At 44.4% G+C, this 14543-nt stretch overlaps 1 protein-coding gene across 14 annotated transcripts, besides 12 other annotated features; it reads left to right on the forward strand.

Annotated features, from left to right (window-relative positions):
* Positions 1123-1677: an enhancer, noted in NCBI's record as "NANOG-H3K27ac-H3K4me1 hESC enhancer chr16:56965546-56966100 (GRCh37/hg19 assembly coordinates)". NCBI's record gives its function as "activates a minimal SCP1, AML or CMV promoter by ChIP-STARR-seq in primed H9 embryonic stem cells {active_cell/tissue: H9 hESC(primed)}" and the evidence as "EXISTENCE:reporter gene assay evidence [ECO:0000049][PMID:30033119]".
* Positions 1283-1332: a silencer, noted in NCBI's record as "silent region_7515". NCBI's record gives its function as "represses an Ori minimal core promoter by ATAC-STARR-seq in GM12878 lymphoblastoid cells {active_cell/tissue: GM12878}" and the evidence as "EXISTENCE:reporter gene assay evidence [ECO:0000049][PMID:35858748]".
* On the forward strand, positions 1631-14353 carry HERPUD1 (homocysteine inducible ER protein with ubiquitin like domain 1). 14 transcript variants are annotated; one of them, NM_001436354.1, is made up of 9 exons: positions 1631-1880; positions 2243-2649; positions 4724-4801; positions 4890-4964; positions 6176-6306; positions 8726-8848; positions 9384-9734; positions 11621-11726; positions 12615-14353. In NM_001436354.1, exons 4-9 carry the CDS (start codon positions 4944-4946, stop codon positions 12777-12779), a joined length of 897 nt encoding a protein of 298 aa, NP_001423283.1. In that variant the 5' UTR covers positions 1631-1880; positions 2243-2649; positions 4724-4801; positions 4890-4943; the 3' UTR covers positions 12780-14353. The 14 variants fall into 14 exon arrangements, 11 of the variants coding, with proteins under 11 accessions (NP_001423283.1, NP_001423280.1, NP_001423282.1 ...); NR_199163.1 differs by lacking the exon at positions 2243-2649 and having other exon boundaries at positions 9384-9890; positions 10355-11726; NR_199165.1 differs by lacking the exon at positions 2243-2649 and having other exon boundaries at positions 4893-4964; positions 9384-9890; positions 10355-11726.
* Positions 1663-1782: an enhancer, noted in NCBI's record as "active region_10859". NCBI's record gives its function as "activates an Ori minimal core promoter by ATAC-STARR-seq in GM12878 lymphoblastoid cells {active_cell/tissue: GM12878}" and the evidence as "EXISTENCE:reporter gene assay evidence [ECO:0000049][PMID:35858748]".
* Positions 1663-2252: a biological region, named in NCBI's record as "NANOG-H3K27ac-H3K4me1 hESC enhancer GRCh37_chr16:56966101-56966655".
* Positions 1678-2232: an enhancer, noted in NCBI's record as "NANOG-H3K27ac-H3K4me1 hESC enhancer chr16:56966101-56966655 (GRCh37/hg19 assembly coordinates)". NCBI's record gives its function as "activates a minimal SCP1, AML or CMV promoter by ChIP-STARR-seq in primed H9 embryonic stem cells {active_cell/tissue: H9 hESC(primed)}" and the evidence as "EXISTENCE:reporter gene assay evidence [ECO:0000049][PMID:30033119]".
* Positions 2203-2252: an enhancer, noted in NCBI's record as "active region_10860". NCBI's record gives its function as "activates an Ori minimal core promoter by ATAC-STARR-seq in GM12878 lymphoblastoid cells {active_cell/tissue: GM12878}" and the evidence as "EXISTENCE:reporter gene assay evidence [ECO:0000049][PMID:35858748]".
* Positions 2366-2660: an enhancer, noted in NCBI's record as "tiled region #13851; HepG2 Activating non-DNase unmatched - State 1:Tss, and K562 Activating DNase unmatched - State 1:Tss". NCBI's record gives its function as "activates a minimal TATA promoter and a strong SV40 promoter by Sharpr-MPRA in HepG2 and K562 cells {active_cell/tissue: HepG2 | K562}" and the evidence as "EXISTENCE:reporter gene assay evidence [ECO:0000049][PMID:27701403]".
* Positions 2503-2552: an enhancer, noted in NCBI's record as "active region_10861". NCBI's record gives its function as "activates an Ori minimal core promoter by ATAC-STARR-seq in GM12878 lymphoblastoid cells {active_cell/tissue: GM12878}" and the evidence as "EXISTENCE:reporter gene assay evidence [ECO:0000049][PMID:35858748]".
* Positions 8038-8397: an enhancer, noted in NCBI's record as "active region_10862". NCBI's record gives its function as "activates an Ori minimal core promoter by ATAC-STARR-seq in GM12878 lymphoblastoid cells {active_cell/tissue: GM12878}" and the evidence as "EXISTENCE:reporter gene assay evidence [ECO:0000049][PMID:35858748]".
* Positions 8728-8837: a silencer, noted in NCBI's record as "silent region_7516". NCBI's record gives its function as "represses an Ori minimal core promoter by ATAC-STARR-seq in GM12878 lymphoblastoid cells {active_cell/tissue: GM12878}" and the evidence as "EXISTENCE:reporter gene assay evidence [ECO:0000049][PMID:35858748]".
* Positions 10865-10934: a silencer, noted in NCBI's record as "silent region_7517". NCBI's record gives its function as "represses an Ori minimal core promoter by ATAC-STARR-seq in GM12878 lymphoblastoid cells {active_cell/tissue: GM12878}" and the evidence as "EXISTENCE:reporter gene assay evidence [ECO:0000049][PMID:35858748]".
* Positions 11591-11640: a silencer, noted in NCBI's record as "silent region_7518". NCBI's record gives its function as "represses an Ori minimal core promoter by ATAC-STARR-seq in GM12878 lymphoblastoid cells {active_cell/tissue: GM12878}" and the evidence as "EXISTENCE:reporter gene assay evidence [ECO:0000049][PMID:35858748]".
* Positions 14354-14543: the final 190 nt, after the last annotated feature.

Genomic DNA, 14543 nt, shown 5'->3' on the forward strand with positions numbered 1-14543 from the left:
ATGTTGGGATTACAGGCGTGAGCCACCTCGCCCAGCCTCAAACATACTTTTAAGGCCACCAGATGCAGCTGTACAACTGAAGTACATACACTTGCCATTGTAAAGCCTGCCACCAGATGCAGCTTGTCACTTGCCACTCACTGATAGTGTTTTGATATGAGTCTGCAAGCAATTGATTTATGATGGCCTCTGTGCAGTGAAACCTCTCTGCTAATGTTAATCCGTATTTGCAGCCACTCTCAGCACTAGCATCAGCAACTCAGCTCCACCTCCCATCATCAGGCATTCGATTCTCGTAAGGAGCACAGCCTAGTTCCCTTGCGTGCACAGTTCACAATAGGGTTCGGCTCCTGTGAGGATCTAATGCCCCCTGATCTAACAGGAGGCTGAGCTCAGGTGGTAATGCAGCGATAGGGAGCAGCTGTAAATACAGATGAAGCTTCGCTGGTGGCTCACCTCCTGCGGTGCCGCCTGGTTCCTAATAGGCCAGGGACTCATAGTGGTCCGTGGCCCAGGGGGGTTGGGGACCCCGTCTTAAGCCATCCAGTTTGTGGCACTTTGTTATGGCAGCTGCAGCAGATGAATATACCCACCAACCAGACCAGGCTCCTCCTGTTACCTTCCTGACCTTGACAAGCTCCTGACAACACCTGAAAAAACAGATGTCCCAAGGGGGTTGGAACAAGGAGGGAGCCGGGGCAATGTCAGTTTTGTTTTTCAAGCCTTTTTTTTTTTTTTTTTTTTTCCTACAGAGGAGGAGGAGGGAACGCCTACAATAAAGAGGCCTTTATGGTCCCACTTCAGGAATCGGAGAACCCCGCCCTCCTCGTCTCAGCCCCAATTTAACGGGTGCATGTGTGAGTATCTTATAAAGTGACGCGTTTTGAGGGGGACTCCAGTGTGAGCAGGACTGTGGCTGACTTGTCAATCATCATTAGGGTGATGTCCCAAACGTTCAAGTCTGAGGCCCAGGGAAATTGGCAACAGCTGCCTGGATGCCTCCATCCTCCCAGCCCAAGGAAAATCTGGCCTTGCTCCTTCGTTGTCTTTCTTAGGAGCACGTGGAGTTCTCCTAGGTGGGCTTGCACTCGGGGTCGCCCAGCCGTTCTTTGAGGGTTCGAGTGGGTAGGCTTCCCCTGTAGGACGGGCTTCCCCGTAGGTTTCCACGTGGGGCCACAGAGGCAGGAAAAGGGGAAGTGGGCACTGACACCTGGGGTGAAAAAGGGTGGGGGTGCGGCTTTGTGAGGAAAGAATTTGCAGAGACTGCTAAACTGGGGTCTGCTAGGATACCCCACTCCCCACCCCCTGCCTCGGGCGCCCTCAGCCACCCGAGCTGGGGGCCTCGCAGGTCTCAGACCAAGCTCCCCGCGCGGCCTGCAGCGCACCCAAACATGGCCACCGAACCCGGGTTCCCGGGGCACAGCCGCGCCTCTGGGTGACGCAGACGCGGCGGGTTGCATCAGCCCGTGCCCACGTGCTCGGTCCGCCCTCTGCCACCCGGATCCGGACGCCGATTGGGCCACGTTGGGAGAGTGCCTCCGCCTCAGCCAATGGGCGGCAGCCACAGAGCGTTCTGTCCGCAGAGCCGGGCGCGGGGCTTCTATAAAAGGCGCCCGAAGCGGGGGCGCGCGCCCCAGAGACGTGAACTGTCGTTGCAGAGATTGCGGGCGGCTGAGACGCCGCCTGCCTGGCACCTAGGAGCGCAGCGGAGCCCCGACACCGCCGCCGCCGCCATGGAGTCCGAGACCGAACCCGAGCCCGTCACGCTCCTGGTGAAGAGCCCCAACCAGCGCCACCGCGACTTGGAGCTGAGTGGCGACCGCGGCTGGAGTGTGGGCCACCTCAAGGCCCACCTGAGCCGCGTCTACCCCGAGCGTCCGGTGAGAGCGGCCCCGACTTCCCGCCCCTAGGCTGTGGCCCCCCGCCCTCTGCTGGGGATGCCACGTCCGGCTGCCCTGTCCTGTGGCCTCCTCCCGCTGACGGCTGCGATCGCTCGGCCGGTCACCTCCCCCAGGGCTGTGGTCTCCCCTTCCCTGCCCCGCCGACGCGGGCGCCCCTCTGTTGCCCAGTAGCCGTCAGTAATCAGCAGCCTGACCTTGGGCGAGTCATTTCACCCTCCAAGCCTGTTTCTCCCCCAGCGGCCAGGCAACTCGGTGTTCCTAATTGGGCTTGCATCCAATGGCTAGAAGTAAGAAAACATCCGTGCTGCAAAATGAGGTTTCTGAACGCAGCCTCTCTGCAGGGAGAGGAGCGGGCAGGTGCCACCCGGGGCCGTGGCTTGAGAAACCTGGGGACCGCCCAGACACTGTGGACGGAAGGCCCCACACCCAGAAGCAGGACGTGGCTCTTCTCCTCCCTGGCCACCTTCCGCCGTGCCCCTCCCTGTCGCACTGGACCGAGCAGCCATTGCCGAGTCCCGGGGTGGAGCCCCGTGCACTTTCTGACCAAGAGCGACTGAGAAGGGAAGCAGGCAGGAGTCGCCTTCAGTCTGGTTTTAGGACGGCAGCCTCTCCATTATTAGCAAGACTTCCTTGCTTTGTTTTGGTTGACACATCTGTCAACATCACCCTTAGCACCGCCTGCCCTGGCCACCACGTGATGAGGCTGTAAGCTGGCCCTTCCTGTATTTACTTTCTGCTCTGATATTATGTAAGTGTCAGCAGTGTTCTTCACTGCCCACGAGCATAATTCTTCATCACACAGGAGAGGGCATCCGGGCAGGAAAAGATAGTGAAGTCGTGAGTTCCAGCTTGTGGTAGCGCCTGTGTCTGTTTTTGTTTCATATGGTCAAGAATGTTTTAGAAGTGAGTTTTCCTTCTGAGTTGTTATTTTGAAATTTGCATATTTATTTAGTAAGCTTGCATTCCATGTCCTCTAGAATTCACCCTGGCACATTTTTCAGTTTCACCATAGCTGCTTCCAAGAAACTGGGTGGCTGTGTTGCCATGAGAATGACTATTGGGTACACAAATTGGTGAAGCAGGTGTAGCCTATGGTTGCATCATATGGCAAAAGGCAGGATTTTGGCGGAGGATTTTTAAGGTCTTCCTTTGATGAGGAATGCCGCTCCCATCTGTTCAGTCTGAAGACCTAACATTGTAAACAAATACCTCTCAGGTATACAAATTTGTGTCTAAAAATTATTATGGCTGAAACATACTTATCATTTGTTTTCTGTAGTAGAAAATGGCATAATATGAGAAGGCCTACTTTGTAATAGTTGTTTGCTTTACTTAATATTTTTCAAATCAGCCATCTGTGTGAAGACTCAATATCAAGTTAGGCCTTTAAAAGGGGGAAAATAATTCAAAACCACTGGCAGCTGTGGTTTTCCGGCCTTTTCTATTGGTTGAACTCTGTAATAAATGCAGGACCCTACATATACAAAAGGTACTGTTTTCCAAATTCACGTATGTATTAGCATTTACCTTTAAAGTTCTCATCCGTCAGAAAAACGGTGAACACAGCATTCAGTATATTTATTTTGGTTTAGTTACACAGTGTCAAAAAGTTCTGATGTATATGGATAAGTAGATGCACTTTTTGCTGTTTTGTTTGTTTAAACAGCTTGCTTTAATTATCTCAAGCTACTTGGCAGGAACACCTTTATTCCAGGTTTCGCATAATCAGTTATTCTGGCAAGAGTAGATTAACACGTTAGTGATCTCCAATAGACAGATTATATGTTAATATTATTTGAGGCCATTATTTTTAAGTACAATTTAGACGGAGTTTCAAATAGATTTTAAAAATGAGATTTGTATAAAAGAGTGTGCAGTCCCTATGGTGTTAAAATCACTGATATGGAGGAGAAGAGGGGTTGGAATTGTGACACTGTGGCAGCAGATGACCTTGGACAAGTCAGTTTTTCAGACTTTCCTCCCTTAAAATAGGGATACTAAATCTCACAGGGTGGTTGTGTATAATGTCACCCACACGCCATCTCCTCTATAACTGCATTTGTATGCCAGGAAATTGTCTGTGAAGGCTTCAGTTTAGAATAGCTTCATATTATTTTGGGGCACTGCTGGGTGATTTTGGTTAAGGCTGGCCTTGGGAGTTCTCTGAGTTTTCTCTGAAACCAAACTCAATTTGGTTGTAGGTTCCCTGTTTGCTGTTTGTTGCTTTTAGTAATAGGAGTCAGTCAGTTTACCTGGGAGTTAAGTTTGGACTGGAGATAATTTGCCATTCTTTTTTTTTTTTTTTTTTTTTTTTTTTGAGATAGGGTCTCACTCTGTCGCCCAGGCTGGAGTGCAGTGACATGATCTTGGCTCACTGCAACCTCTGCCTCCCTGGTTCAAGCGATTCCCCTGCCTCAGCCTCCTGAGTAGTTTGGGTTACAGGCACAAGCCACCACGCCCAGCTAATTTTTGCATTTTTAGTAGAGATGGGGTTTCACCATGTTGGCCAGGCTGGTCTCGAACCCCTGACCTCAGGTGATCTGCCCGCCTTGGCCTCCCACAGTGCTTGGATTACAGGCATGAGCCACCATGCCCAGCCGATAATTTGCCATTCTGTATTTATTTGCGTGTTAGAGACCAGTTAAAGTTAAGACACTTTCTAAATAGAAGTCTTGTATATGGGGCTTTTGAGAAAGTGTTTTCCCGTGATGCTGGGGGGAAACACACATATTCAAATTACTTGTATAAAACAGTTTATTCTGTGTTTAGGAACTTGTAGGGGTGAAATGCTGACCTGTGTTACTCTTTCTTTCCATGATCAGCGTCCAGAGGACCAGAGGTTAATTTATTCTGGGAAGCTGTTGTTGGATCACCAATGTCTCAGGGACTTGCTTCCAAAGGTACATCACTTACACATTAACTTCTGAATGTTTTTAAGCACTCACCAGGTTAGGTTCAGGTCCTTAAGTACCTTCGTATTACTTTTAGCAGGAAAAACGGCATGTTTTGCATCTGGTGTGCAATGTGAAGAGTCCTTCAAAAATGCCAGAAATCAACGCCAAGGTGTGTCTGCCTCTTCATGATGGTAACAATTTGTATCATTCAGACTTTCAGGGGAGTAATAAAAGAAGTTGGATAAAACGTTTATTGAGAGACTGTATGGTGTTATTACCAAGTAATATTTTGTTTCTTTCCTAGGAATTAGAAACTGTATTATCAACACAAAGTGATGAGTTAATAGTAGCAGATTGTTCCGTTAGTGCTGTAGTAGAAAGGTGGAGTTACATATTGCACTATCTTATGGGATATGATTTGATCTATGGTTACTGTGTATCTAGATTACTGAACTAACACTAATCGGGTTTTTATTGAATTTAGCACATAGCAAGTTTCTTCAAAGGAGTCACTAATTTTTATAAAGAGTACAAAAGTGAATATATTTCCTTTGGAAATTTTCATTGTGATTAGTTGGATAGGAAAAGATCAGAGTTTTTATCAAGTGATCTTTAAAGAATTTTTTTTTTTTAAAAATGGTCTCGCTGTGTGGCCCAGGCTTTTCTCAAACTCCTGAGGGCAAGCGATCCTCCCACCTCAGCCTCCTGAGTAGCTGGGACTACAGGCATGTGCCACTAGACCTGGCTCTAAAGACATATATGACACACGAAACCATTTATTTTTCATTTCACAATGTTTATTCACATATATGGTATTAGTATTCTAATGTAGTGATGCACTCTAAATTTGCATTATATTTCCTAGAACATCTGAACAGAGCATAGGAAATTCCCTATTTTGCCATTATCAGTTCTAACAAAAATCTTAAAAGCACTTTATCATTTCATTTCCCTGCACTGTAATTTTTTTAAATGATCAAAAACAGTATCATACCAAGGCTTACTTATATTGGAATACTATTTTAGAAAGTTGTGGGCTGGGTTGTATTTATAAATCTTGTTGGTCAGATGTCTGCAATGAGTAAATTTAGCACCATTATCAGGAAGCTTTCTCACCAATGACAACTTCATTGGAAGATTTTAATGAAAGTGTAGCATACTCTAGGGAAAAAATATGAATATTTTAGCATCTATGTATTGAAAATTATGTTGAATAAATGTCAGACTATTTTTTACATAACGTTGCTTCTGTTTAATTTTGTCACGTTCAGAGGTGGGGGGTAGGAGATGTAAGCCCTTGACAGCAAAATAATTCCTTTTGCTTGATTTCAGACAGTTGCATCAGCTCCTTTGTTCTGTGTTCATGTTACACTTATTTAGGTGGCTGAATCCACAGAGGAGCCTGCTGGTTCTAATCGGGGACAGTATCCTGAGGATTCCTCAAGTGATGGTTTAAGGCAAAGGGAAGTTCTTCGGAACCTTTCTTCCCCTGGATGGGAAAACATCTCAAGGTGAGTGTTATAATAAAGATCTTGGCTTATGCAACATGAATGTTCCTCGTTTGCATCAATTTAAGAATAAGGTATGTTTACACGTATATAATCAGAACTTTTAAACATACAGAATTTTGCTTTATAAATAGCTTCGCTTTAAAGATCTCTTATATATTTAACTTTTCTTAATACACAGCCTTTTAGTACACACAAATTTAAAAAGTAGGTAATGCATATATTGAAAAAAAAAAGAAAATGTAGGCGTTTTATCCTTCCATTGTGCTGACCGCTTGGTTGCCGTCATGATAGGAAATTAGTGCTGCTGCAGGAGAAAACAGCTGTCGTAAGCATTGTGCAGCTGCTTTGCTGAGTGGCTTTGTGCTTTATTGTAACAATGGGTGACAACAAGGGAGAGACTGTTTAAGAAGTGTCCTTCCAAAGACTTGGGGGTACTAGGAAAATTGGCCAATTTCTTATAACTATTAAAGCTTTTCTTTAGAGCAAAAGTCAGAACTAAATGCTCTGTTATTTGGATTTTTATAGCTCTTGGAATACATTGTTTTTGGGGAAAAATTCATTAACTGCAAGTTGCAATTCTGTAACTCTCCAATTCTCCGTCCCCCTTTTTCTAGTACTTTTTATACACAATATTTTATAAAGCCAGGTGTTTTAGGAATGAGTTTTTCTTCCTTTTCCCCCTTAATGGAACTTTCAAATATACACAACAGTGGGGACTGGATAATTAATCCCCACACCATCACCCAGGCCTAATAAATAACAATCAGAGTTTTACCATAGCTCATCTATTACCCTTTCCCTTTTTTTTAAAAAAAGAGTATTTAAAAGTAATTCCCAGGCATCATGTTATTTCATCCCTATATTCTTCAGTATATAACTATGAAAACCTTTTAGTTATCTTGTATATCTAGAATGCCATTATCAGATCTAACAGAAATCTTAAAAGCACTTTATCATTTTATTTCCATGCACTGTAATTTTCTTAAATGATCAAAAACAGCATCATACCAAAGCTTACTTGTATTGGAATACTATTTTAGAAATACTCTGTGTATGGAATTTAGTTAAAAGATTGTCAGCATATAAATTGGATAATTATTGGATAGAAAATTATTGGTTAGAAAAACTTAAAACTACTTCCCTTATTCTGATTCAACTATTCTTAACTTGAGAATTGAGGCTCATATTTGACTCTCTGAATCTCACCATATTTAAACTTGATTTCCTTTAACAAATATTTATTGAACAGCCAGTACATACAACTTTGCTTAAGGATATGAGTTGACCTGCAGGAATGACCACATAACCAATTTCTGATCTTTGGGCAATTCTATTATGGTTTCAATTTTGTGATGTGCTACTGAAGAAATTGACTGTGTAAGAAGCACAAAGCCAAAGATGACTCGCATACACCTGCCCTGTGAAGTTGAGGGCTGTGTGGCCTGATTAAAGAAGCATGCATTTGGCCGGGCGCGGTGGCTCACACCTGTAATCCCAGCACTTTGGGAGGCCAAGGTGGGCGGATCACGAGGTCAGGAGATTGAGACCATCCTGGCTAACACGGTGAAACCCCGTCTGTACTAAAAGTACAAAAAATTAGCCAGGTGTGGTGGCGTGTGCCCGTAGTCCCAGCTACTGGGGAGGCTGAGGCAGGAGAATGGTGTGAATCCGGGAGGTGGAGCTTGCAGTGAGCCGAGATTGCGCCATTGCACTCCAGGCTGGGCAACAGAGCGAGACTCCATCTCAAAAAAAAAAAAAAAGAAGCATGCATTTGACATCAGACCAGCTCTGAAATCCAGCCCTGCTACTTACTAGCTCAGTGACCTTGTGCAAAGCCCCTGTCTTCCCTGAGCTGTACTTGGGTTCCCCTTGTAAAATCTCCTTCATGAGATTGCTGTGGACCCAGCAGCCTGTACAGGACCCCCGGTGGTCAGTAAGCATGCACAGGTGATACCACATGCACACTTCACTATAGATTCAGATGGAGGATGGAGGAAGAAGTGGATATTGGGAGGATGGGAGAGATTTCCTTCAGGAAAGACTGGGAGAAATGTGGCTTTTGAGCTGCTCTCTAAAAGATGAACAGTGGGTTGAGACCTGCAGTGAGACTCAACAAGTCAAAACTGAGGTGGGATCTACTTAACCCAAAAAGGTTGTTTATATATCTGTGCACTCAGCAAGCAGGTGGCAAGGGCTGTTGTTTTCCTGTGGGATGGGACTGTGGTAGAAGTGCTGTGTCATTTAGTACCTTCTGTGCTTGTGGTACATGGGTGCGTCATACAGTCATTTACCATGTAACTGCCGTAAATTCCATTCTTCTGTCTCTTCGATTTGAATTCTTGATTTTAATTTAAACTTAGTTTTCATTTGTTCATACTCAACCCACTCAAAATGAGTGTTTTTTCAAATCTATGTATAGGCCTGAAGCTGCCCAGCAGGCATTCCAAGGCCTGGGTCCTGGTTTCTCCGGTTACACACCCTATGGGTGGCTTCAGCTTTCCTGGTTCCAGCAGATATATGCACGACAGTACTACATGCAATAGTGAGTCCTTCCCGCCATGCTGGGTGTGGCCAGGGCTCCCGGGAATTGAAGGGAATTTTATCCATGTTACCTGTAAAGTTCAGAATGGAGGGATGAGTGTATTTTCATCAGTCTGCAGAGCCCTGCTCTGTTTGGTCTGTGGGTAGAGTGTAAATGACAGCTGCTACCTGATTTGTGTATTGACACAAGGGTGCTTTTGTCTGATACATAGTTTAGTGACTTTATTTAGAACATGTTACTTTCTTTTCAATTTGTGCTATCTTCAAAGTTTTGTGAGGATTTTAATTTGCTACTGTGCCATAATCTTACAGTGGGCTTGATGTTTAATTTCAGGTGAAATTCACCTTGTGGCTTTTCTTAGAAAAGGCATTTATAGATATAGTTAGTAAGGAAGTTCTTCACTAAATTGAAGAAAAATCAAAGGCATATCTACCTACTTGAAATTCTTAACAGTAAAAGACTGCTGTGTAAATAAGCCACAGACTTCACGGTGCTTTGGTCTCAACAGTATCTGCCTCTGTCGTTTTTATTTTAGTTTAGCAGCCACTGCTGCATCAGGGGCTTTTGTTCCACCACCAAGTGCACAAGAGATACCTGTGGTCTCTGCACCTGCTCCAGCCCCTATTCACAACCAGTTTCCAGCTGAAAACCAGCCTGCCAATCAGAATGCTGCTCCTCAAGTGGTTGTTAATCCTGGAGCCAATCAAAATTTGCGGATGAATGCACAAGGTGGCCCTATTGTGGAAGAAGATGATGAAATAAATCGAGATTGGTTGGATTGGACCTATTCAGCAGCTACATTTTCTGTTTTTCTCAGTATCCTCTACTTCTACTCCTCCCTGAGCAGATTCCTCATGGTCATGGGGGCCACCGTTGTTATGTACCTGTAAGCAGATGGTTTCTCTAATATAAATTACACTACACTGTGTTCACACTAAGCAGATTTTGCTCTTTTTGTTTCTTGTTTTTTTTGAGATGGAGTCTCGCTCTGTCATTCAGGCTGGAGTACAATGGCACAATCACTGCAATCTCCGCTTCCCAGGTTCAAGCGATTCTCCTGCCTCAGCCTCCTGGGTAGTTGGGATTACAGGCGCCCACCACCATGCCTGGCTAATTTTTATATTTCTAGTAGAGACGGGGTTTGGTCATGTTGGCCAGGTGGTCTCGAACTCCTGACCTCAAGTGATCTGCCCACCTTGGCCTCCCAAAGTGCTGGTATTACAGGCGTGAGCCACCACTGCGCCTGGCCAGATTTTGCTCTTTTTTGAGCAGTCTCAGTTACTGTAGAAGGAGATGTGTTTAAATAGTATATCACTCTGTGGCTGGGCGCAGTGGCTCACACCTGTAATCCCAGCAGTTTGGGAGGCCGAGGCAGGAGGATCACATGAGGCCAGGAGTTTGAGACCATCCTGGCCAATATGGTGAAACCCCGTCTCTACTAAAAATACAAAAAATTAGCCGGGTGTGGTGGCACGGGCCTGTAATTTACTTGGGTGGCTAAGGCAGGAGAATTGCTTGAACTGGGGAGGCAGAGGTTGCAGTGAGCCAAGATCGCACCACTGCACTCCAGCCTGGGTGACAGAGCAAGACCCTGTCTTAGAATAAATACATAATAAATAGTATGTATTCTGGCACTTTCGATACAAGGAATTCATGGCTTGGTTGTATGGTCCCAAGAACATATCAATCCTGTGTTAATATAAGAATATTATCTTGTCCTCTAGATAAGCTACCTTACCTTCCAGGCTCACAAACCACAAGTATGTAGCCATACTGAGGCATGGAACAGAAAACTGTATTTGTTTTGAATGAGAACACATTTGCCTTTATCAGACCACAGCTGCCTTCCAGGGTAAAGTCAGGCACTGACTGTTAGCATGGCCCTGAAAGGCAAGGGAACCTTCACATACCTGACATTTGGTTTTAGCTGTGGCCCGAAGCAGTAGTTCTCAACTGGGGGTGGTTTTGTACCCTCTCTCCCCAGGGGACATTTGGCAATGTGTAGATATTTTTGGTTGTCACATCTAGGGGAAGTGGTCCTGCTGGCGTCTAGTTAGTAGAAGCAAGAGTGCTGCTGAATTTTCTACAATGCACAGGACAACTCCCACAGTAAATATTTGGCTCAATATGTCACTAGTGCCAAAGCTGAGAAAGCCTGGCCTAGAGTGATGGGTCTTCGTGGTTGAAACTAAAAGAAGAAATTTTCCTGTATAGTAAAAATGGATTTTTATTTTAGCTTTTAAAAATAAAAAAGGAATAATTAGAATATAATGAACACTCAAATATCCACAATTAGTCATTGTTAATATTTTATTATATTTAAGACTTGGGATTTAATTGGTTTCTTCAAATAAAACGTTTAGTTAATATTTTCTGTAGTCTCTAGAATCATATATTTAAAAGACCAAATGTAGGTTGTCATTATGTTATATATAATTATAGCTTTGTAGGTATATGCATTCTCCCCGCTCTGTTCAGGTTTTCAAGGGTAAGGTTTAGTTCGTCATAAGCATTTATTGAGTGCATACTATGTGCCAGGTGCTGTTTATATGGCTGGGTGTGCAATGATGAATAAAACACAGTCCCTGCCTTCAAGGACCTTACAGACTGGTGAGAATGTCTGGGAGACAGTGTGATCAAATGCCTCTGTAGATGGGTCTTGCAGTGAGCTTATCAGGGTGCTGCTGTGATTAGAGGTGGGGAGCCTTGGATTCTTGAGTAAGTCTCACTGTGACATCAGCTAAGATGGACTTTTATGTGCTTCCTTTGAAGGCATCACGTTGGGTGGTTTCCATTTAGACCGAGGCCGGTTCAGAACTTCCCAAATGATGGTCCTCCTCCTGACGTTGTAAATCAGGACCCCAACAATAACTTACAGGTATGGAGCCTCCCACGAAGCCCAGGCGAGCTTGACGTGATATGCCAGGCTCTCCAATCCTCAACCTTTAGATTGCCAGCTTGCGGTTTACCATTTTATTGGGCTAAATATTTCATGATTTGTTCACATTTCTTCTTAGAGCAGCAGCTATTTTTAAAACGTCGAATGTGCCATCACATTCTATCACATATTTTTGACGTGGCAATTTGCATTTTGGCTTAAGTAAATAACATTTTTTTAAACCCACTATTTTGAGCGTTCAGTGGTCTGTAACAGTGTGTTATACCATAAGAACTGGTATGAAGTGGTTAACTACTAGTTTAATAATAGTTGAAGCCTGGGCGTGGTGGCTCACGCCTGTAATCCCAGCGCTTTGGGAGGCTGAGGCAGGTAGATCACCTGAGGTCAGGAGTTTAAGACCAGCCTGGCCAACATGGTGACACCCCGTCTCTACTAAAATTACAAAAATTAGTTGGGCGTGCCTGTATTCTCAGCTGCTAGGGAGGCTGAGGCGGAAGGATGGCTTGACCTTGGGAGGTGGAGGTTGCAGTAAGCCAAGATCACACCACTGCACTCCAGCCTGGGTGACAGAGCGAGACTCTGTCTCAAAAATAATAATAATAGTTGCAGATCTAGTTGTTTCATTTGATATTTGCTGCCAGGAGCAGTCAAAACTATGACAACATCAACACAGTTGTGCTGTGGAAGCCTGAGAAACAGCCCTATCCAGCCTAGGGCATCATTCCCTGGGGTCCTGGCTGCCTGCTGCTGTGCCTATGGGGCAGGGGGCAGGGATTTACCCTGCCCTTTCCTAACATTATTTGGTGTTCATCATAGCCCTAATTGTTTTCTCATTGTTTCATTACCTCATTGTTTCATTACCTGTAGGAAGGCACTGATCCTGAAACTGAAGACCCCAACCACCTCCCTCCAGACAGGGATGTACTAGATGGCGAGCAGACCAGCCCCTCCTTTATGAGCACAGCATGGCTTGTCTTCAAGACTTTCTTTGCCTCTCTTCTTCCAGAAGGCCCCCCAGCCATCGCAAACTGATGGTGTTTGTGCTGTAGCTGTTGGAGGCTTTGACAGGAATGGACTGGATCACCTGACTCCAGCTAGATTGCCTCTCCTGGACATGGCAATGATGAGTTTTTAAAAAACAGTGTGGATGATGATATGCTTTTGTGAGCAAGCAAAAGCAGAAACGTGAAGCCGTGATACAAATTGGTGAACAAAAAATGCCCAAGGCTTCTCATGTCTTTATTCTGAAGAGCTTTAATATATACTCTATGTAGTTTAATAAGCACTGTACGTAGAAGGCCTTAGGTGTTGCATGTCTATGCTTGAGGAACTTTTCCAAATGTGTGTGTCTGCATGTGTGTTTGTACATAGAAGTCATAGATGCAGAAGTGGTTCTGCTGGTACGATTTGATTCCTGTTGGAATGTTTAAATTACACTAAGTGTACTACTTTATATAATCAATGAAATTGCTAGACATGTTTTAGCAGGACTTTTCTAGGAAAGACTTATGTATAATTGCTTTTTAAAATGCAGTGCTTTACTTTAAACTAAGGGGAACTTTGCGGAGGTGAAAACCTTTGCTGGGTTTTCTGTTCAATAAAGTTTTACTATGAATGACCCTGGCAGAGACTCCTGTCATCCTAGCAGTTTACTCTGCGTTTGTTGTATCTAGACAGTCAACAACTGAGTTGTCGGTGTTTAACCTGAATGCTTGTTTTTCAGAAGAGGACTGTTTGTGCCGGTAAGAATGATCAGGTAAGGCCATGAAAGTTTTTGTTGGCGTTTTTGTTTTTGAGATGGGGTCTTGCTTTGTTCCTTGGGCCAGAGTACATTGGCTACTCACAAGTGGGCTGGTAGCTGGCTACAGCCCCAGACTCCTGGCTTAAGCCACCTCCTGCCTCAGCCACCCTGGCAGCTGGGACTACAGGCATGCGCCATCACACTTAGCTTGAAAGTTTTAATTTACTAAGAATATACCTGTGTTTCCCCCCATTTCCTGATTTAAACAGTACTGGCTTATATAGGAACCCATCAAAGTTAAATTCCCCAAATTTAAATTTAGTAAATTTAGTGGTTTCACCTTGGCAAATCTGCAATAGTTTCACCAGCTCAAATTTCATGCTTTTGTAAGCTGAGCTTATGTTTGTGATTTTAATCCTTTAAGTACTACTGTGGTAACTAATCATTTTTTTGTTTTTTTTGGTGGTGTTTTTGTTTTTGTTTTGAGATGGAGTCTCACTCTGTTGCCCAGGCTGGAGTGCCGTGGCGCGATCTCGGCTCACTGCAACCTCTACCTCCTGAGTTCAAGCGATTCTCCTGCCTCAGCCTCCCGAATAGCTGGGATTACAGGTGCCCACCACAATGTCTGGCTAATTTTTTGTATTTTTAGTAGAGACGAGGTTTCACCCATGTTGGCCAGGCTGGTCTCAAACCCCTGACCTCAGGTGATCTGCCCGCCTCGGCCTCCCAAAGTGCTGGGATTACAGATGTGAGCCACCGCACCCAGCCAGGGACTAATCTTTAAAGCAAAGTTTTATATATTTTTACGTGAGTAATGTTATGTGTAGGTGTTCTATTTGGCAAAATAAATCAGCCTTTTCTATCATGATTGTGGTCATTTAAATTAATCCTCATCGGAAACATTGTTTACCTAAGATAAACATTCACTAAACAACTCATAGCAAGACGCTGGGTAGGTACAAAGATGTCTTATGTGTGGTTATGCTTTCAAAGCCAACTGAAACCCTTTTGTAAGGAGTTAAATAGCAAAAAGTTTCAAATAACTGTGTGCCTCT

Source organism: Homo sapiens, chromosome 16, assembly GCF_000001405.40.
Source record: "Homo sapiens chromosome 16, GRCh38.p14 Primary Assembly".
NCBI lineage: Eukaryota > Metazoa > Chordata > Mammalia > Primates > Hominidae > Homo > Homo sapiens.

Excerpts from the sequence above, each read along its gene's own strand:
- HERPUD1 (NM_014685.4), top strand. The coding sequence starts at position 1,734 with ATGGAGTCCGAGACCGAACCCGAGCCCGTCACGCTCCTGGTGAAGAGC. Across the intron at positions 4,965-6,175 it reads TGCCAGAAATCAACGCCAAG|GTGGCTGAATCCACAGAGGA; the intron begins GTGTGTCTGCCT and ends ACACTTATTTAG. Across the intron at positions 8,849-9,383 it reads CGACAGTACTACATGCAATA|TTTAGCAGCCACTGCTGCAT; the intron begins GTGAGTCCTTCC and ends TTTTTATTTTAG.